Below are 21991 nucleotides of genomic sequence, written 5' to 3' on the forward strand. Positions count from 1 at the left end.
CAACCTCTTTCATCCTAAAATGTGGGGATTAGATGGAATGACTTTAATCAACTCTTTTGAGACAAGACACCTTTGGACCCTGAAGCCTCCCTGGGTGCTGGCCACCCCTCCGGGGAGGAGGCATCCGTGGGTGCAGCTGGTACTCCTGCATGAGGACCCAGAGGGTCAGGGTCGGGGACTCCTTCTGCTGCAGGACAGCGCTGACCCCAGGCTTCTTACCCGCCCCCGACCTGTTACCCGGCGACAGTCCCCGCCGCCCCGTCGCCGGGCACAGACTCAGCCGATCCACAGCCATGAGTGCGAAGCCTCTCAGGCAGGGCAGGCAGGCAAACCGCAAACCCACAGGGCGCACCCAGCCCCGCCGCTTCCTCCCGGGCCTCGCCCGCAGCTGGAGGAGAGAGGAAGGAGGAGGCGGCGGGCAGCGGGCAGCGCCCACCCCATCCCACCCCATCCCACCCCACCCGACCCCGCGGGCCCGGCCGCCCGAGCCCGGCCCCAGCCCTGACCCCGGAGTCCCGGTCGCTCACCTTGAAGGACATCCTGCACATGTCCGCGGCCGCCCGAGCGGGAGCCGGCGCGCTTTGGGCCCGGGGCGCCTTGTCCTCCCCGGCCCTTCACTCTCCCGGGGCTCTCGGCGTTCCGCAGAGGGGCGGCCTCCGACGCCGCGCGCTCCCGCCGCCCGGCCCGGCAGCAGCCGCCGCACACAGGGCCGGGCCGAAGGGGCGGCGCGGGGGCGCGCGCGCGCGCACACTACACATGGGGTGTCGCGTGGACGCGCTCCAGGACCTGCCACACACGCGCGTGCACAAACACCCCAAACTCCGCACGCACTGTGCACTTTCCACACACGTCCACACTTCCACACTCACTCGTCCACACACACACTCCAAACTCCACACACATTGTGCATACGCTCCACATTCCACACACACAGAGGTTCCACACACATACTTTCCACACTCACGCCCACTCACCCGCATGTACTCACACACAAACTCCATACATATCCTCCCAAATAGACTGGTCTGCCCCAGAGGACTCCCAACCTTCATTACAGCACAAATATTATAATGATGTAAAAATGAAGCTTGAGGAAAAAATTCATCCAATAGCTATTTTCGTTATAATTTCTTTCTCGGTTTCCTGGGAAACTTTTTTCTCCTGGGGAAAATATCTAGGAAACAAACCTTTTGATTGCACAAACAATAAGTGGTCTTTTCCTCTTTGAAGGGCAAAGGCCAATTTTGGAATAGACTCATACCCCTCCTCCTCCTCCGCGTTATTAATCCAGCAGTTCCCTCCTCCTCTGGGTCTGATGCTGCAGCCCTGGAGTATTGCAGTATGTGTGTCCACTCCTGCTGCCTGCCCAGGATTGGTTTGGGCGAAGTAAAACTGGGAGTTTTAAGTATAAACGGCAACAACAGCTCTTTGAGAGCATTTTAGAAAAGTGAAAGTAAAAAAGTAGCCCAGGCATAGTGGCTCACGCCTATAATCCCAACTCTTTGGGAGGCCAAAGGCGGGCAGATCACTTGAGTCCAGGAGTTCGAGATCAGACTGGCCAACATGGCAAAACTCTATCTCTACTAAAAATACAAAAATTAGCCAGGCGTGGTGGTGCGCACCTGTAGTCCCAGCTACTCGGGAGGCTGAGGTGGGAGGATCGCTTGAACCTGGGAGGTTGAGGCTGCAGTGAGCCAAGATTCGGTCACTGCACTCCAGCCTGGGCAACAGAGCAAGACTCTGCCTCAAAAATAAAAATAAAAACAAAACAAAAAAATAGTATAAAAATGGAGGTCTTACCCCCTCAAACTATAAGAATCCACTCATTCATTCTCCCCCTCCTTCCCTCTTCTCAATTAAATTTGTAACGAATATTTAATTTAAAAGGTAGAAAACAATTACAAATAAAAGTTAATGATAAAAATTAAAATGTTTAACCTTCATGGATAAATTGTATTACTTTGTGCTTAAAACAACTTTAAATTAAAAACATTCTGAACTTTTATAGAAAATTCCAATTTTAAAAATAAGGACTCTAAACATTTTCCTTGCCTTGAGTGCCTATAAATGACACAGTTTTTAAGTTGCCACACAACGTTATTATATAAAAATCAAGCATCAGAGGTTTTGCTTTAATAGTTTTTTGTTTGTTTGTTTGTTTTTTCTTCTCAGATGGAGTTTCGCTCTTTTGCCCAGGCTGAAGTGAAGTGGCATGATCCTGGCTCACTGCAACCTCCACCCCCCGGGTTCAAGCAATTCTCCTGCCTCAGCCTCTCGAGTAGCTGGTATTATAGGCTCCTGTCACCGTGCCCAGCTAATTTTTGTATTTTTAGTAGAGACAGGGTTTCGCCATGTTGGCCAGGCTGGTCTCGAACTACTGACCTCAGGTGATCCACCTGGTTCGGCCTCCCAAGGTGCTAGGATTACAAACGTGAGCCACCGCGCCTGGTCTGCTTTAATAGTTTTGATAAATAAAAGGGAGAAAGGAAAGAACTAATATTTTGAGTGTTTTCTAGGTACAAGGTGCTTTCCTTATAAACATTTTATGGGGTGAGTATTAACCCATTCCACGGATGAAAAAACTAAGATTCTGAGAGATTGGAGTAATTTGCTAATAAGTGATAGGGCTAGGTGTTTGTCTAGCTCCAAAGCCTGTTTCCTTTCCGTTACACTTGAGCTCAAAGCTGCTTTTCTCTGGCCAGGGTGCTGATGGGATTCTTGTCAGTCTCTGGAAAGAACGTGCCTAACACCGTCTGACACACGCGGTTAAACTCATCTTCATATAAACAGCTCTGAAATGGAACAAAGCTCTCATGGTCACAACAGGCAATTCTTTCTAAAATGGTCCACTCCAAACTTTAATAGTGACCCACTGGACCTAATACAAGATTTAATCTGCACGGCCCAGTTTTCTTATCCAAACATCTTCTCACTACCCAAACAGAGCCTCTCCATCCTTGTCATCCTGTCAAACAAAAGGGATAAAGGAAAAAACTAATATTTTGAGTGTTTTCTAGGTACAAGGTGCTTTCCTTATAAACATTTTATGAGGTAGGTATTATACCTATTCCATAGATGAAAAAAGTAAAATTCTGAGAAAATGGAATAATTTGCTAATAAGTGATAGAGCTAGGCGTTTGTCTAGCTCCAAAATCTTATCACTGCTCTCTTCCCACTACGGCTCTCTTTCATCTCCTCTCTTTTGTCTGCCAAATCCCAACCTACCCAGGGTGTTACCCCCAGCTCAAGTTCCTCTTCCTACACCCTGGTTCTCAGTCATCTTCCTCCCAACTTTGCTGAGCTCTTGCCATGGTTCTGCTCTACACCACATCCCTCAACCCTGATTCCACAGGGTCTGGTATTGCTCTCAGTTCTACTTCTGTTGCTTTTGATTTCTTCAGCAGAGTTGAAATTCTTCAAGGCCAGGCCCTGTGTCTTATGTATCTTTTATTTTCCCCAGGGGCTAATTTACGGCTGGAGGCATGGTAGATGGTCAAAACTTATTCATCATTGAATTAGTAAAAGAGTCAGGGGGTTGTGTTATCCAAATCTACCAAGTCAGAAGGCCCACTCTTATCCACAGACATGCATTACTCAGATGCACAGACATCTGTGTTGATCTCAAATGAGTCCATAGTCATTGTCACCTTCTGTTCACACCAGCACAGACCTTGATGTGTTTGGCCTCTATTTTGCACTGTCCCAGTTGATGGTCCAACAGGATTTGCCCTCGACAGAATTGAGAAGTAGGTCAATCTGGTCTACTGAGCTTTCTTTTTTTTTTCTTTTTTCTTTCTTTCTTTTTTTCAAGACGGAGTCTTGGTCTGTTACCCAGGCTGGAGTGCAGTGGCATGATCTTGGCTCACTGCAACCTCCACCTCCCGGGTTCAAGCGATTCACCTGCCTCAGCCTCCTGAGTAGCAGGGATTACAGGCACAGGCCACCAAACCCGGCTAATTTTTGTATTCTTAGTAGAGACGGGGTTTCACCATGTTGGCCAGGCTGGTCTCAAACTCTTGACCTCGTGATCTGCCAGCCTCTGCCTCCCAAAGTGCTGGGATTACAGGCATGAGCCACTGCGCCCAGCCTACTGAGCTTTCTAACACCCTTTTTGTAATCAGGCTCCTTCATCCAACTAAGAGTTCATGCTGGACATCTTTTCTGTCTTTATTCTCTGTCTACTTCCCCATCCCACATCTTTTAAAATTTTTGTATCTATTTATTTTTTATAAGGATAGGGTCTCTGTCACCCAGGCTGGAGTGCAGTGGCAGGATCACAGCTCACTGCAGCCTGGAATTCCTGGGCTCAAGCAATCCTAATGCCTCTGCCTTCTGAGTAGCTAGGACTACAGGCACATGCCACTATACCGTCTAATTTTTAAAAACATTTTTTTACAGATAGGATCTCGCTATGTTGTTCAAGCTGGTCTTGAACTCCTGGCCTCAAGCCATCCTCCCACCTCAGCCTCCCAAAGTGCTGGGATTACAGGCATGAGCCACCATGCCCAGCCCTTGTTTAATTTTTAATTTTTATTTAATTTTATTTTTTAGAGATGGGGCATCACTATATTGCCCAAGCTGGTCATTAAGTCATAGGCTCAAGTGATCCTCCCTGTCAGCTTCCCAAAGTGCTGGGATTACAGGTGCATGCCACTATGCCCAGCTTCCACCTCACATCTCCCAGCTAGTTAGCTCCGTCTCTCCTAACCTATTGGAATTTACCCTAGATGAGGCTTCTTGCAGTGGGGACTGTAGCAGACACAGCTTGGAGTAATCTACCCAACACCCATTGCTCCCTTCCTTTCCCTATCAGAATGTCAGTTTTGCTCAGTTTTGTCCATCATACTCCCCCTGGAGATTTGCTTAAGGGGAACATAGCCCTTTGTTCCATCCAAAGTCCTCTTGTTTAGGCTGGTGATAGTGCTTGAATTAGGTGTGGGCAGGTGACAAATTCTGATCTTTGAGATGTCAGAGGAGGTGTGTTGGGGGCTTTTGAGAAAGATTTCCTTGGTTGTAAGACATACCCAGGAGAAGATGGTCCTTATTCCTTGGGACACTGTACTGTACAAGTACAATGCCTGGAATGACTGCAGACACCTTGTGACCATAAGGAAAACTACCCCCTGAAGGTGGCAGAGCAGACCATGGTGTCACTAAGGCCCTGTGTTGACCAATGGGGAATTCTTATTTCTTTCTTTTTTCTTTGAGATGAAGTTTCGATCTTGTTGCCTAGGCTGGAGTGAAATGGCATTATTTCAGCTCACTGCAACCTCTGCCTCCTTGGGTTCAAGAGATTCTCCTGCCTCAGTCTCCTGAGTTGCTGGGATTTCAGGCTCATGCCACCACGCCTGGCTAATTTTTGTACTTTTAGTAGAGACAGGGTTTCACCATGTTGTCCATGCTGGTCTCAAACTCCTGACTTCTTGATCTGCCCGCCTCAGCCTCCCAAAGTGCTGGGATTACAGGTGTGAGCCACCGTGCCCAGCTCACAATCTTTCTTAAGCATACAGTAACATAATGGGAATATGTATATTCTGCTCTTTACAAAGCATGATAATGTGAGCATTTCCTCCTAGCATTAACAGTTCTCTGAAAATCTGTAATTTATTTATTTATTTATTTTGAGATGAAGTTTCGCTCTTGTTGCCCAGGCTGGAGTGCAAGGGCATGATCTTGGCTCACTGCAACCTCCCCGTCCCAGGTTCAAGTGATTCTCTTGTCTCAGCCTCCCGAGTAGCTGAGATTACAGGCACATGCGACCACACCCGGCTAATTTTTGTATTTTTAGTAGAGACGGGGATTCATCATATTGGTCAGGCTGGTCTCGAGCTCTTGACCTCAGATGATCCACCCCCCCCGCCGGCCTCCCAAAGTGCTGGGATTACAGGCATGAATGAACCACCATGCCCAGCAAAATCCATCTCTTATGGCTGCAGTTATATTGCATATACTATAATTTATTCAACCTTTCTTCTTTTATAAAACCTTTATGTAGATTTTCATTTTTATTATTAAAAATAACTCTACTCAGCCAGCCTTCACTAAAGGCATTTCTGCTTATTGTAATGACACACACCCAGCGAGGCACATTGAAAACCAGAGGAAACTAGACGATGTGTAAAGTTCTGCCGCCCAATTTTTTAGCATCATTGAAAACCCTAAGATGGAAAGCATCTTTTGGAACCCTGAAATTCTACCATCCAAGAAAAAATATTCTTTTATTACTCTTCTACGGTGGCTCACCCCTGTAATCTAAGCACTTTGGGAGGCCCAGGAGGGCAGGTTGCCTGAGCTCAGGAGTTTGAGACCAGCCTGGGCAGCACAGTGAAACCCCGTCTCTACTAAAAATACACAAAATTAGCTGGGTGTGGTGATGCGCACCTGTAGTCCCAGCTACTCAGGTGGCTGAGGCAGAAGAATTTCTTGAACCCAGGAGGTGGAGGTTGCAGTGAGCCGAGATCGCACCACTGTACTCTAGCCTGGGTGACAGAGCGAGACTGCATCTCAGAAAAAACAAAAACAAACAAAAAAACCTCTACACTTCCAGCCTGGGCAACATGATGAAACCCTACCTCTACTAAAAAAAAAAAAAATACAAAAAATTAGCCAGGCTATAGTTCCAGCTACTCGGGAAATGAGGCTTCCTGCAGCGGGGATCTCATTTGCTTAACATTTTTCTATTGTTCTTTGGTTCACTGCTAACAGTCTTGTAAATCCTTGCTTGCTTGCTGAAGCAGTCTCTTCTTTTGGGTGGGGCATCCGAATGTTGCCACCTGGCAGGGTGCCCTGGCCCATGGAAGGCTGGTCCCGGCTTGGCTTTAAGTGAAGGTTCCACTGCACTTCCTTCTTTTCCCTGGGGAGGAGGAGTCCCACACTGACATGGAGGAACTCTACAAAATGGCCCAATGATCCTCCAAGTAGCCAATAACCATCTAGGTCTTTTTTTACTGTTTGCTTTTTGGTATATTCTTTTCATTTATTTTTATTTTTATTTTTTAAGAGATAGGGTCTCGCTCTGTCGTGCAGACTGTAGTGTGCAGTGGCATAATCATAGCTCACTGAAGCCTTGAATTCCTGGGCACAAAGGATCCTCCCGCCTCAGTCTCCTGAATAGCCGGAAGTTTAGGTGCAAACCACCATGCCTGGCTAATTTTTGCCTGCCTTCCTTCCTTCCTTCCTTCCTTCCTTCCTTCCTTCCTTCCTTCTTTCCTTCTTTCCTCCCTCCCTCCCTCTCTCTCTCCTTCCGTCGTTCCTCGTCTCCTTTCCTCCTCTCCTTTCTTTCCTTTCCTTTCTTTTCCTTCCTTCTTTTCTTTTCTTTTTTCTTTTTTAGATAGGGTCTCACTATGTTGCCCAGGAGGATCTAGACTCTTGGCTTCAAGCCATCCTCCCACCTCAGCCTCTCAAGGTGTTGGGATTGCAGGCATGAGCCACTGCACCTGGCCTCAGATGCGCTAGTAATTTTGCTTTTATTATCCATCACAGTGATTTAACAAAGTGTTAGATTTCCTTCACTCTAGTGATGGAATGGACGATGCTCCATTAGGGTCAGTTGCCCTTAGCATTGCTCCATCAGATGCTTTGCAGTTTAAAACATGCAGTGATGAGCCCTGAATACATGGCAGGATTTCTGGGAGCCTCATCTGTGACCCAGTGGACAAGGCACAGGTGTAAAAATGCCAGCCTTAAGGAGCCTTCAGTCCCTGGCCAGACATCTAGCTGTTGCCTGAGTGTTTGATTTTCATTTGGATATTTAGCATTATTGTGTAACTCTCAGCTTCCAACCTTTGTTTAAGGAGAGTCTGGGCTAATGGTTGGAAAGTACCCTATCACTAATCTGGCCCTTGGGAATAGAAGCATCTATTATGAATGGGCCCAGAGGAGGCGTCTCCTAAGTGAAGCTGCCTTCGACATTCTGCTGAGGGTTCCAAGTATTCACACAAGAGCAGTATCTTTGAATGTACTGGGGACTCTGAATTCTGTCTAGTTGATGTACCAGTCCTTAGATTTTACTGCCAAGTTGCTAAAACCATATGGGGTAAAATGTAGGAGATACGTACACACAGACTTAGTTCTCAATTATTTGCCAATTGGCACTTGTTTCATTTAATCTTTAATTGAGCCAAAACCAAGAAGCCAAAAAAGCTGAGTTCAATCATTAGGGAAAATGGACAAAAAGACTCCTGTGCTATGGAAATTGTCTCACCGCTTTACATGGGAGCAAGAGTGGAATGCAAACTTAATTTTGTTTATGGCAAAAACGGATCTCCTGCCCCCATGGCTGAAATGCAGAAAGTAACATTTTTATTAACATTTGACTTTTGGGGCCCTGTTTGGCAATTCTATAGTAATATCACAAACTATATATAATATACCAGATTACAGTGTACATCTCAAGTGTGGCTGGAGCCTCATTCTTTCAGTGAGGCTTCCTTAGTGGGCTTCTCACAGCTTAGAGGTAATATGGCAGCTTAGATTTGCAGGGACCTCAGTGGGCTGAACATCAGATGGTGAGCCACATGGGAGCAGAAGCTGTGTGTGCCTCCTTTTGGCAGCCCCGATGCCAAGTCCAGAGCCTAGCACATTGTTGGTGTTCACTGAGCATTTCCGAATAAGTGAATGAATAAATGAATCCTCACAGATTATCTGAGGAGCCACAAACCTCTCAAATATGAAACCAAAGTTTCTGAGGCACTTTCCTCTAACGAGATTGGGAGCCTGTGTTTGTGCGGTTCTTCTCATATTCAGAAATCTAAGGCATGTGGCCACCAGCTTCCAAGTGAGGTCCCAGGGCAAGTGACAATAAAGGACATCATCCTATTTTCACGGGAGGAGTATTGCCTGGTAGAACAACTATCACAGCTTCACTGAAGGCAGCACCTTCTCCCCTCCATCCCGCAAAGACCTGCCACTATGGGTCCCCAGCATGGGGCTTGGAGGGGCCTGAAAGTAATTGCTAAGGGGTCATGACTCCATCTTTGTGTATGTCTATGTATGTTTTCAATTAAATGATCGTGTGTGTGTGTGTGTGTGTGTGTGTGTGTGTGTGTGTGTGTGGTCGGGGGGGCCTCAGGAATTTTGAAGTTGTACAAGGGAATCTTGGACTTTTACAGGATGTCTGCTCCCCCTTCCCCCACTGTCCCAGTGATGCGGGTCAAACTAAGCTCAGGCCACAGCCCTTCAGTGGGCACGATTGGCTTTGATGCCTTCTATGAAGGTGTAGAATTCTTGGTTTCCCCAGCAAGTAGAATGGGGCTGGAGAAGGAACAAGAAGTGGGAAACAGTAGGGTAGAAATCCAAGTGATTTCACTGGAAAGAGAAATGTCAGAAGCTCCCAGAACAGCCACGATCAAACATGCCTTCTGGACGAAATGGTTCTTATAACATCCACCTTCAGTATGGTGCCAGAATTGTGACACAGTTGTAATGTGCTGATCTCAGGGTGGGATGCATGCCCTGAGTCTTTCCTAGGCAAGTCCTGTGCCTGCTGGGGCTCAGCAGGTGGCCTAAGGGCCAGAGTACTCTGCTCAATCATGAGGCTAGTCAGGCTCACTGAGTGGGCAGGGATCTGGGAAGCTTCGAGCAGGAAATGAAGAAATCTAAAGTCTGGTTCAGTGTCCCAGGGGGATCTGGGGAAGACAGTATGGGGAGGGTGATCAAGGCAGACCAGCTGGTGAGAGGAGATTAGGGCAGTGACAGCTTCCATGGAACTCCTGAAAGGCCCTCCAACACCCTGGGGCCCTGGCAAGGTCAAAAAGTGGGGAGCAGTGAGCTATGTCCAGTACAGGAGGCCAGCAGGTGGATCTCTAAGGACTGATGTAAAGAATGCTTCCAGGTTCTGAGAAATTGGCATCCCAGGCAGGCTCCTGGACAGAAATTCAGACACAATGGGTCAAGACCTGTGTCTAGAACTGCACATAAAGGCAATCACTAGCTTTAATTGGAGGCGTACTATGTATTAGCATTGCATTTGGCCCTTTCTAATTATTACTTCCTTCAGTATTCACAGATCTTTTTAAAAAAATTTTTTGGCTTTAAATTTATTCAATGCAAAATAATCCTCTCCAATTTTACTGAGGTGGCTGACCACGTCCACGACCAAATCTGCCCCTAAACTCAAATTCGGTTGCTGACCCAGCCCCAGCCTTGGCTTTCTTGTCGGCAACCAGGGGGCACAGCACTCTGTCTGTAGGTAACTCTATTGACTTCCCCTCTTGTGAGTCTTGCAGGTTCCTCAGCCTCCAGGCCTTTAGGCCGAGACCTGCCAGTCTCTGGACGGCTGCGGCATAGGATGGCAGGCACAGTCTCCAGGGGAAGATGAAGGTAATCACAGAGATACTGGATACTGTCATTGGTAAGTTACCAATAGAAATGTCTCCAGGCAAACTGTTCCTTCACGTAGCCTTTGGACTTGAGAGACTGCATGGCCTTCATGACATGAAGGTTGGACACATTCTTGTCTGCGAGCTCTGGGTGCCTAGGCATGTGGACATCCTTCTTGGTCACCATGACTCCCTCCTTAAAAAGGAGTTCATAAATGGCAATCTGGTTCTTCTTAGGCATCAACATCTCGGTGGCTGTAGGGTCTGGAGTTGAGGCTGGAAAGAGTATTTACAAATCTTATGCCATGGGTAAAATTTTTCACATGAAAAAACTGAGACTTGGCCGGGCGTGGTAGCTCACGCCTGTAATCCCAGCACTTTGCGAGGCAGAGGTGGGCGGATCACGAGGTGAAGAGATAGAGACCATCCTGGCCAACATGGTGAAACTCCATCTCTACTAAAAAAAAATACAAAAAATTAGCTGGGTGTGGTGGCACGCACATGTAGTCCCAGCTCTGGAGGCTGAGGCAGGAGAATTGCTTGAACCCAGGAGGCAGAGGTTGCAGTGAGCTGAGATCACACCACTGTGCTCCAGCCTGCCAGACAGAGTGAGACTCGATCTCAAAAAAAAAAAAAAAAAGAAAAGAAACTGCGGCTTAAAAATTTTTTTGTCAAATAAAGATGTAATATATTTAATGTGTTTTATGTGATGATTTGATATGCATATACAGTGTGTAGTGATTACTATAGTCAAATTAATCCAAGCGTCCATCACCATCCATGCTGTACATGAGAACCCCAGAACTTGTTCCTGTGGTAGCCGAAACTTTGCAGCCTTTGACCAACATCTCTCCATTTCCTGCACCTCCTGGTCCCTGGCAACCACCATTCTACTCTGGTGGTAGGTCCAGCCCTGCAGCAGACACTTTCACATACATTATGTCATTTAACCTTCACAATATCTTTATCATCATTTTTTATTTCAGGTGAGGGATTGGAAGCATAGAGAGACTGAGTGGCTTGCTTCAACTCACACGGGAAGGAAGCAATAACCCAATAAATGGGACTGGGGCACATGTCAGAGAAACCCAGCAGCAAGACTACCCTGAGGCTGATGTGCCATGGGAGAGGAAGAGACCTAAGCATTAAGGATGTAATACTTGCTATATACATTTAGTCCTCCTTAGCCTAAAACCTGAGTTAGTGACGATCTTGTAAGATGGAGAGAAATTTTGAAGATACACAACTTCAAGGAGTATGGCTTACTTACTAAGTGCAGGGAGTGGCTTTCACCTGAAATAACCCAAAGATGCATTTGTTCTTCATAATGCATGAGTCATGGATTTAGCCCATACATTGAATTCATATTATTAAAACAACCACCTTACACCCATGTCTCTGTGCAGAGGCAGCTAAATCAGTAGGTGCTATTGTGGAGTAAGTGAAACGAATTTTAACTTTAGCATATGTGTCATTTCTTTTGAGTTGTCTAAACTTGGGTACAATTACTCATACTGAGCCAAGAGAATGAAGCAGGTTATTTCATGCCCTTTTAAAAAAGGTTGTAAAACTCTGATTTTTTTTTTTTTTTTTTTTTTTTTGAGACAGGGTCTTGTTCTATCACCCAGGCTGGGGTGCACTAATGAGATCATGGCTCACTGCAGCCTTGACTTCCCAGGCTCCGATCCTCTTGCTTCAGCCCCGCTAGTAGCTGGGAATATAGGCGCAAACCATCAACCCTGGCTAATTTTTGTATTTTTTGTAGAGATGGGGTCTAGTCATGTTGCTCAGGCTTGTTTCAAACTCCTGGGCTCAAGCGATCCTGTCGTCTTAGGCTCCCTAAGTGCTGGAATTATAGGTGTGAGCCACTGCACCTGGCCCAATTCTGATATTTTGTATTTCTTATATGTACTGTTGAATGAATAGGAAAGATTTAACATAGTATTAGAGCATCATGAGGTTAGAAACTATCAAGTAATAATAACCAACAAATGATTTAAAAAAAATTTTTTTTTCTTAGAGACAGGGTCTCGCTCTGTTGCCCAGGCTGGAGTGCAGTGGCACAATCTCGGCTCACCACAACTTCTGCCTCCTGGGTTCAAGCGATTCTCCCGCCTCAGCCTCCCAAGTAGCTGGGATCACAGGCGCCTGCCACCATGCCTGGCCAATTTTTGTATTTTTAGTAGAGACAGGGTTTCACTATGTTGGCCAAGTTTTTCTCAAACTCCTGACCTCAAGTGATCCTCCTGCCTCGGCCTCTGAATGCAGTCAAAGAAAATTGACAAATATTTTGTAATACACAGTACAACTGGGTTATGAGAAAGATGATCACATAGTTGGATGTCATGGCTATATGAAATTGCTAAAAAAGTTTATAAACACTTTCAGTTTTTGTGCTTTTCTCATTGCAACAACAAACAGTTCATCCACTGGCACTGATTGAGAGGTCACAGTTTATTTTAAATAAGCAGGACCACTCTGAAACCATCTCAACAGCTGAAAAACTAGCTTTTGTGGCGTTTTTTTTTCCTTTTTAAATTATTTTTGCTTATCCATATTAGTGAACTTTTCAATACCTGATGAAAGGATTAAAGAAACTTCTTCATTCAAGGTAAACCACGCTTTTTCCAATTTAGACATAAGGGAGAAATTATTCCTTCTAAGATCAATGTATAGAAGGTGCATAAAGAATGAAAAGAGAAAATATAAAATATAACCCATAGCCAAGGGGAAAAAATGAGGTCAATGCTATGCTTAAAAGGAAGATTCATCCTGGTGCTGCTTAAAGAAAAAAAATTGTAAAAATAAAAAAAATAAGATTCATAAATGGTCAAAACCCACTTTCAGAGAAAAACTATGAACTATGACTCTCACAAGATAGCTACAAAGTATTTGGCTTGTAGAATTCTCATAGATACAGACTGAAGACATCTATTTTTGTAGAATTGTTCTTTCTGGCACTATTCTTGATGCTTTGGCAAAAAGCATATTCACACAAACTTTTTTTAAACTTGGGATGAAGTTAATGGAACATTTTGGCAAATGCAAAAAACAGGGCATGAGACTCAAGAGATCAAATTTTACTTTTCCCTAGATACTTACTAAGGAGCAAAAGCCAAAAAATAAGAAAAAAAAAGAATTAGAGACAAACTTAATTTTGTCTTCTTAAACACACTAACTACGTAGAAAAAAAAAAGTCAAATTCTAAAAGCTCAATTTCCCAGAAATGTCCAGAAGTAATCGGAAAGAATATTTTGTATTTCACTTATGATGCATTAAAGCATTTAAAAATGCAACCTACACATAGGTGATATTAATCAGCTCATGCTGGTGATTAGGAAGAAGAGGCAAGACTTTTTTCTTTTTTGAGACAGAGTCTCACTCTGTTGCCCAGGCTGGAGTGCAGTGGAGTGATCATAGCTCACTGTAGCCTTGACCTCTTGGGCTCAAGCAATCAAGATTTCGAGTGTTTTGGTTGTCTATTGTGGCATAATAGACCACCTTCAAAACCAGTGGCTTAACACAATAACTATTCATTTGCTCATGATTCAGCAATCTAGGCAGCTGGGCAGTTCTGCTGGTCTTGCCTGGAAGTCTGTCATGCAGGTACCATCATCTGAGGGCTTGAATGGACTGTAACATCCAAGACGGCTTTACTTTGCCACGTCTTGTGTGGTCTCACATACTCCAGGACCTCTTTCTACATACTTTTTTTCTCTAGCAGTAGTTGGACTTCCTTACAGCATGGAATCTGAGTTCCAAAAGGGAGATTTTTTTCTTTTCTTTCTTTTTTTTTTTTTTTTACACAGAGTTTCGCTCCTGTTGCCCAGGCTGGAGTGCAGTGGTGCAATCCCTGCTCACTGCAACCTCTGCCTCCTGGGTTTAAGCGATTCTCCTGCCTCAGCCTCCCAAGTAGCTGTGATTACAGGCACCCGCCACCATGCCTGACTAACAAAAGGGAGATTTCTAAGAGGACTAGAGCTTTTCAAACCTCTGCTTACATCATGCTAGCTAATATCCAATTTGCCAAAGCAAGTTACATGACCAAGGCCAGCCTCGGTGTGAGAAGGAACAACACAAGGGTATGAACTCTAAGGGGCATTGTTCATTGGGGGCAAACAATGTTAACAGTCTGTCACACTAATAGGAAAATGTTGAAGGTTATATAAATGCAAGTTCTGCTTTTCTGAATAAGGCAGAATCAGGTTACCTAGAAAACCAGCGATGTTTCAGAGTTGTGTAAAACAGCACCAGTCTTTGGGAATGTTCTTAGTGGTTTGTGGGGCTATATAAACTCACAGATTAGACCAACCAAGCCAACTGATCAACCTATCCATATTTATTAAGCACCGATTGAGTAATTATCACTATGCAAAGTAGTGTGGAAGATGCATTTTTCTTGCATGCAGGGTACCTACAATGGAGTTGGAGAATATAAATAGTAAAAATAATGTTGGAAATACTGTAAGACAGAATATAACAAAGTGCTAAATCATATCATACAGAATGTAAAGTAGTAAAGAATTTCAGACTTCTAGTCATGACCTATTCTGATGAGGCCTTCAACACATGGTCTAAGAGATGTAATAAGGCATTAATAGTCCAAATCTGAGCATATACACTTGACTACAGCAACCATCTGGCTCTTCTGGGCCTCCTCTCAGGGGTAGAAGACAATGGCCTCATGAACACAGATATCAAGGGAAATCAGCTGCTTAAAGAAAGGTGATTAGACTTTCTCAAACCTGATCCTTGTTGTTGGAGAAGACAGGGCTCTTGTAACTCAAGTTTTCAGTATCTGCCTGGTCTTCCTTGTCTTTGTAACCAACAATGTGGCCATGGGCAACAATCAACTGCACTGGGAGAGGATGACAGCTAAAGAGTTGTGCAGAATGGGAGGAGAAGTAATGGCATTTGGAACAGCAAATCCTCCCAGATATGAGGTGCTGAAGACCGGGGAAGAAAGAACACCGCCTCTTTTCTAGGCTCCGCCGCTTCTTTCATACCATAAATATTTAAGTACCTACTCCTGTGCCAGACATTCTGCTAGATCATAGGGCTACAAAATAAATGAAACATGGTGCCTGCCCCGAAGGAGCTCATGGTCTAGTAAGTAGGCAGATAAAAGCACTACCAGGGAGGCCTGAATAGTATGTTATGCGAGCTCAATGGCAGGAATGGCCAACTCTGAGAAAGAGGGGAGAATCTGGGGCAGGGCCACGGAGAGCCTACTGTATTAGTCAGGGTTCTCTAGAGAAACAGAAGTGTGCGTATGTGTGTGTGTGCATGTATATGTGTGTGCGTGTATATATATGTATATATATATACACACACGTACACTTATATATATATATACACTCTTCCGTATAAAAATGATAAATCTATCTATCTAAATCTATATATATGGATTTATTATAGGAACTGGCTCATGCAATGGAGATCAGAAAGTCCCTCAATATGCCACCTGCAAGCTGGAGAACCAGGGAAGCTAGTGTGTGATTCAGTCCAAGTCCAAATTTCTGAGAACCAGGGGAGCCAACTGTGTAACTCTCTTCAGGACCAAAAGCCTGAGAATGGGGTGAGGGTGAGGAGCCACTGGTGTAAATCCTGGAGTCTGAAGGTTGCAGAACCAGGAGCTCTGATGTCTGAAGGTAGAAGACAATGGATGACCCAGCTCAAGAAGAGACAGCACGGTCACATTTCTTTTGCATTTCTGTTCTACCTGAGCCCTCAATGGATTGGATGGTGCCTGCTCACATGGGTGAGGGCAGATCTTCTTTACTCAGTCTACTGTTTTAAATGCTAACCTCTTCCAGAAACATCCTCACAGGCATGCCCAGAAATAAGGCTTTACCAGCTGTCTGGGCATCCCTTAGCCCAGTCAAGCTGACACATAAAATTCACCATCATATCTGCCAAATGAGGCAATGCCTGAAGTGAATTTGGGAGAATGGTTTGGGGTGATACAAGTGGCTAAGATGGAGAAGGGCAACCCTAGCAGAGGCATGGCCGTGTGCAAAGTCACGATGACACATTGTGGGTTGGGGAATAGTTTGATAAAACTGGAAAATAGGATACAATGCAGGCAGGTGAAGGATATAGGGCAGAAGAAGGCTAAGGTCAACATATGAACCCTTCTACTAAAACGACTTTATTCTAAGTGGAAGAATAAAGTCTTCCACTTTACTTAACACACACTTCTACTGTGTGTGTTAAGCACAGTAGAGATATGATCAAATTTACATTATAGAAAAGCACTGTTCCATAGAACTTTCAGCAATGATAAAATGTTCTATAATCTTTTCTATTGAACATGATAACCGATAATCACATGAGGCTGCTAAGCACTTGAGATGTGGCCAGTGTGACAGAGGAACGGAATTTTTAATTTTTAAATTTAAATTTAGATATCCAGATGTGGCTCTTGGCTGCCATATTGGACAGGTTGACTCTAGAAAAATCCCTCTGGCAGCCATATGGAAAATGGATTGGATGAGGACAAGACCAGAAGAAGATAGAAGACTTGGTAACAATTCAGGTGAGAATTAATATCAAATTAAAGTAGTTGGGAAGACTAACTTGAGAACTACTTAGGAAATGCAATGGACAGAATTTGATATCTCATTTGACACGAGGAGGCAGCCCTGATCATGAGAAGAAGAGTGGTATTCAGGGGTAGGGACAAAGAAGTACGCTGAGGAGGATGAGGAGACCAAATCTAGAGGCTGCGAAAGCCGAGCAGTCGAGCTTGGATTGACATGGTAGGCTGGAGGAAGAGGTGGCAACACATACCTCTTCAGCTGGCATATCATGCTGCTCTTTCTTTAATGTGCAGGACCGATTGTAAGGAAGAGAAAATGGAGGCAGAGAAAGCAGTAGGGAAGCTATAGAGATAATTCTGGCATGGTCGATTGTGGTCTGGACTAAGGTAGTGGTAGCAGAGGGTAGATACCTGGATGAATTCAGGCTAATGGTGAACAATGCCATTTGAGCATAAAGGATTATGGAAAGAGAATAGTCAATGAGAAATCCATGTTTCTAATCTGACAGATGAAAGGAAAAGGAGAAGTGAATTAATGATTGTTAAGAACCTGCGAATTAGGCACTGTGCTGGATACTTTCACAGAAGTGTCATCTTTGGGATACTAGACAAATTGGTGATGTCATTGATGGAAATGGATTGGCCCAGAAGGGATCATAGTTAGGAAGTTCCACTGAATATATTTTCTGTATTTTATTTATTTTTTTCATTGAAACATACTCAGAGAGATGTTTTCTGTATTTTAAATTAAATTAAAATTTTTTTTAGAGACAGGGTTTTATTATGTTGCCCAGGTTGGTCTCAAACTCCTGGGCTCAAGCTCAAGCGATCCTTTCAGCTTGCTCCCTGCTTCCCAGAGTGCTAGGATTATAGGTATGAGCCAGCGTGTCCAGCCCTGGTCTCTCTCTCTCTCTCTCTCTCTCTCCCTTATTTATTTATTTTTTTTTTAGACAGAGTTTTGTTCTTGCCACCCAGGCTGGAGTGCAATGGTGTGATCTCTGCTTACTGCAACTTCTCTCTCCCGGGTTCAAGCTAGTCTCCTGCCTCAGCTTCCCGAGTAGCTGGTATTACAGGTGCATGGCACCATGCCCAGCTAATTTTTATATTTTTAGTAGAGACGGGGTTTCACCATGTTGGCCAGGCTGGTCTCAAACTCCTGACCTCAGGTGGTCCGCCTGCCTCAGCCTCCCAGAGTGCTGGGATTACAGGTGTGAGCCACCGCAGCTGTCCAGCCCTGATGACTTTTCATTGGCTCAAAACTTAGTCATATGACCCTACTTAGATGCAGGTGGTACTGGGAAATGTAGTCTCAGAGCAGGCAGCCACCTCTCAGGAACTCTGTATTGCACCAGTCCTTGGTAGGTATACCATTGACTCTGTCCCATTCCCATTTACTCCACCTCTTCAGGGCCACACCTGTAGCATATTCATATTTTCCAGTTGTTTTACATGCTGGGAGCAACCATGCCCTGGCTATTTAAAGAGCCACCCTCAAAATCTTCTGAAATTTACTTCTAGAAAAAACATATTGAATGAGATAAAGAAATAAATAACAAGCCCCACAGACATAATTAGGTCGTCAATAAATCGAGAGTAAAAAAGTAGAGACATAGGGAAGTTGGATCTACATTGCCTTCTTAAGAAGTGCGTGTTGAAGGAGGCACCTCCATTTGTTCTTTGAACTGCTCAGCATGATATGGGCTGTTACAGAGCATGAAATGGTGAGAGATTTCAGTTGTATGGTCTACAAAATTGTCTATTAGCCCGATATTCTAGGGCTCAAGTGCAATTAATTCAATCTGAATTCTGACAGATATTTATCAACCTGCTACTTTGTATAAGACACTTCTATGGAAATCTTAAAGGAGAAAAAGGAAAAGAAAAAATCCCTGGGCCAGCCCCTGTCCTCAAAAAGTCTACAGCTTTTATTGTTAAATAGACCTTTGTTGAGACTATTTGTCAAATTCTTACAAAATGCATGTCTCTGAAGTGATGTATTTTGGACATAGAAACAACATGCAGTGCAGGCCAGGGTGTGGTGGCTGATACCTGTAATCCCAGCACTTTGGGAGGCCAAGGATGGAGGATTGCTTAAAGCCAGGAGTTCAAGATGAGCCCTGGCAACATTGCAAGACCCTGTCTCTAAAAAAAAAAAACAATTAAAATATTAGCTGGGCGTGGTGGTGCATACCTTTAGTCCCAGCTACTTGGGAGGATCGCTTGAGCCCAGGAGTTTGAGGCGGCAGTGAGCCATGATCACACTCCTGCACTGTAGCCTGGGCAACGAGCAAGACTCTGTCTGAAAAAAAGAAAGAAAAGAGAGAAAGAAAGAAAGAAGGAAAGAAAGAAAGAAAGAAAGAAAGAAAGAAAGAAAGAAAGATGGAAAGAAAGAAAGGTAGTGCAGTGTGGTTGAGCACTAGGTGTTGACATATTTTTACCCTGCTGGCAGTGCTACCTCTTGTGGACTTGAATTCCTAAACTTAGGGCAACTAAAGAGGGGAAAATGTGAAAATGAAGCAAAAAGATATTTTAAAGACTGATTTCTAATTTTCACTCAAAAATCTCTGCCAGATTTTGAGTCAGAGTTCATGTCAAGAGAGTGAAGGCTCTATTCCTTAAATCTCCACTATGGCTGAAGCAAGATGATTTAATTACTCACTACTTTATTTTTGCTCATTTGCAAAATGAGACTAATGGCTTTCAAACACTTACCTTGCAGGGTAGCTCTGGGCTGACAGGAAAAAAAAAGGCATTGTAAAGACAAGGTACTATTACATAGGTGTAGGCTTTCTTTTATCCTAGAACTACTGCTTGTAGTAACAGACACCTGGGGTGGGGAAAAAATTCTCCTTAAAAACAAATGTATAAAATTACTTCCTCTGCCCAGCTGTGTATTTCACAGAAAGGCCAAATGGGACTGTGTGAAACAAGAGCTGGAGAGAAAATTCATGCAGTTGGAATGTGAATTTTAAAAAAATTTTTATTTAACAGATATAAAATAAAAATAGAAATCATGTCTTGCTACGTTGGCCAGGTTGGTCTTGATCTCCTGGCCTCAAGCAATCCTCCCATTTTGGGCTCCCACAATGCTAGGATTACAGGCATGAGCCACCTCACCCAGCCTGAAATGTGAATTCTTCATAGGGGGTTTGGCAGAGCTATCTACCAGGGAGTGCCCTAACAGGAGGTACCATTGTCAAGGTTCTGACGAAAGCTAGAATCTGCTTGCAGTGAGCAGAAACACTTGATATAATCAGGCTGAGAATTCTACTCTGGTTTGGTTAACACTGGGGTTTCTGAGCTCAGAAGATAAACCAGACAGAGGCCATGGGCCAAGTGAGTATCCTTACTTTACAAGAAGTCCTTAGATCAGGGGACCTGGAACAGGGAGGTCCACACTTTAGAGAGGTGGAGATGTCCTATAATCCCAGGCAGGCACATAGCTGGGTTCTGGATACCATCTCATGGTAATGAGGGCTGAGCAACTGAACAAGTCCTTAACCTTGACTGTCTTGTCTGGAAACAAAAGTGGGTGATCTTAGATTTGTGTTTCCTGATACCCAAGGGTCTAGGGGTAATTCTCAGTTTTCAAAATGATTAATAGAAACCTTGCCTTTATTTAGAGTCTGACAACATAGGCTAAAGCAAGCACACTATCTTCACTCTGAACTGGAATGATTTCAGCTCTGTGTGGTCATGGTAATTGTTTGATGTTAACCAAAAGCCTACATTTGCACAGTTAGGTAGATATTTAATAACATAGAAAAATGCTTGTTGAGAAATACACTTGGTGAAACTTTCTTTTTTATTTTTGGAGATGGACTCACGCTCTGTCACCTAGGCTGGAGTACAGTGGCGCAATCTAGGCTCACTGCATCCTCCGCCTCCTGGGTTCAAGCAATTCTCCTGCCTCAGCCTCCCGAGTAGCTGGGACAACAGGTGCATGCCACCACACCCAGCTAATTTTTTGTATTTTTAGTAGAGATGGGGTTTCACCGTGTTGCCCAGGCTGGTCTCGAACTCCTGAGCTCAGGCAACCCACCCTCCTTGGTCTCCCAAAGTGCTTGGATTACAGACATGAACCACTGTAGAAGAGTAACAAAAGATTTTTTTTTTTCTTGGATGGTAGAATTGCAGGATTCCAAAAGATGCTTTCCATCTTGGGTTTGCAATGATGGTAACAAATTGGGTGGCAGAACTTTACTCGTTGCCTAGTTTCCTCTGGTTTTCGACGTGCCTCACCAGGTGTGTGTCATTATAAGTAGAAATGCCTTTAGTCTTTTGGTTTTGTTTGTATTCTTTTGGTTGCTGTTAGTGATCCACACACTGCTATTGGCTTAGATGATGTTATTGTTTTCTCTGTTAAATGATGATGACAGGTCAATTTCTGCAAACTGATTGATTATTAAGTGAAACCAAGCCAGTAACAAGTCACAGTTTAACCATGCAATTTAAAAGAGAATAGAAATAATAAGCAGGACCCAGGGCTTCTGATCCCAGTTCATATTCCTAGGAGAACTGGAGAGGAGAGAAGGGAAGAGCTGCCATATTGGGGAGCGAGTGAAAAAGGAGGAGAAAACCTATGTTTTGATTAAGAGGAAGAATAGCCATGAGTATGTTAGGTCAATCACTCTATTAAAGGGACATTACTGCATTTGTTATGCCGTTGTAAGACACTGAGTTTATTACCCATGCATGTCTAGGTTCTTGGCTCTAAGGACATTCTTTTTAACAACAGCATGCATGGCAAGTTCCACTTCCATCTTAAGATTTGAAGGATGTAGCTCTGCATGAATCACTTCTGAAGTATTGGGAGGTCAGCCAAACCCCAATTCACTCTTGTTAGTTTGAGTTTGTTTGCACCCAACAATGCACGTATGTCCCACCCACCCTTCCAGGGCGAAGTAAACCTCTTGTGCTTGGGACACATCTGTAGCCTTCACACCACAGATGGGCCTCACCCAGGTGTTTTCCTTTTGTCCTCTCAGAGTCCTCCTAGAAGCATAACTGGAAATCAGATGTCTTGGGTCCAGCTGATTATTCCTGTTTTTCTTAAAATATGGGCAAGTCATTTAATTCCTTTAAGCATTCTCTTTCTATATTAAAACATGACAGCCCCAGCCAGGTGCAG

The 21991-nt window shown here is 44.2% G+C and overlaps 1 protein-coding gene and 1 pseudogene across 8 annotated transcripts in view, besides 1 other annotated feature; both read right to left on the reverse strand.

Annotated features, from left to right (window-relative positions):
- ANKRD29 (ankyrin repeat domain 29) overlaps nt 1-729 on the reverse strand; it is a 63986-nt gene extending 63257 nt beyond the window's left edge. For all 8 annotated transcript variants that reach the window (XM_017025561.2, XM_011525830.3, NM_001308238.2 and 5 more), the window contains exon 1: nt 528-729. In XM_017025561.2, the coding sequence (XP_016881050.1) occupies nt 528-548 (21 nt within the window). In that variant the 5' untranslated portion in view covers nt 549-729. The remainder of the gene's footprint in view (nt 1-527) is intronic.
- Nucleotides 6583-6877: a silencer, noted in NCBI's record as "tiled region #8852; K562 Repressive non-DNase unmatched - State 21:Repr". NCBI's record gives its function as "represses a minimal TATA promoter and a strong SV40 promoter by Sharpr-MPRA in K562 cells {active_cell/tissue: K562}" and the evidence as "EXISTENCE:reporter gene assay evidence [ECO:0000049][PMID:27701403]".
- On the reverse strand, nt 10022-10603 carry RPS10P27 (ribosomal protein S10 pseudogene 27; annotated as a pseudogene).

Source organism: Homo sapiens, chromosome 18, assembly GCF_000001405.40.
Source record: "Homo sapiens chromosome 18, GRCh38.p14 Primary Assembly".
In the NCBI taxonomy this organism is placed as follows: Eukaryota; Metazoa; Chordata; class Mammalia; order Primates; family Hominidae; genus Homo; species Homo sapiens.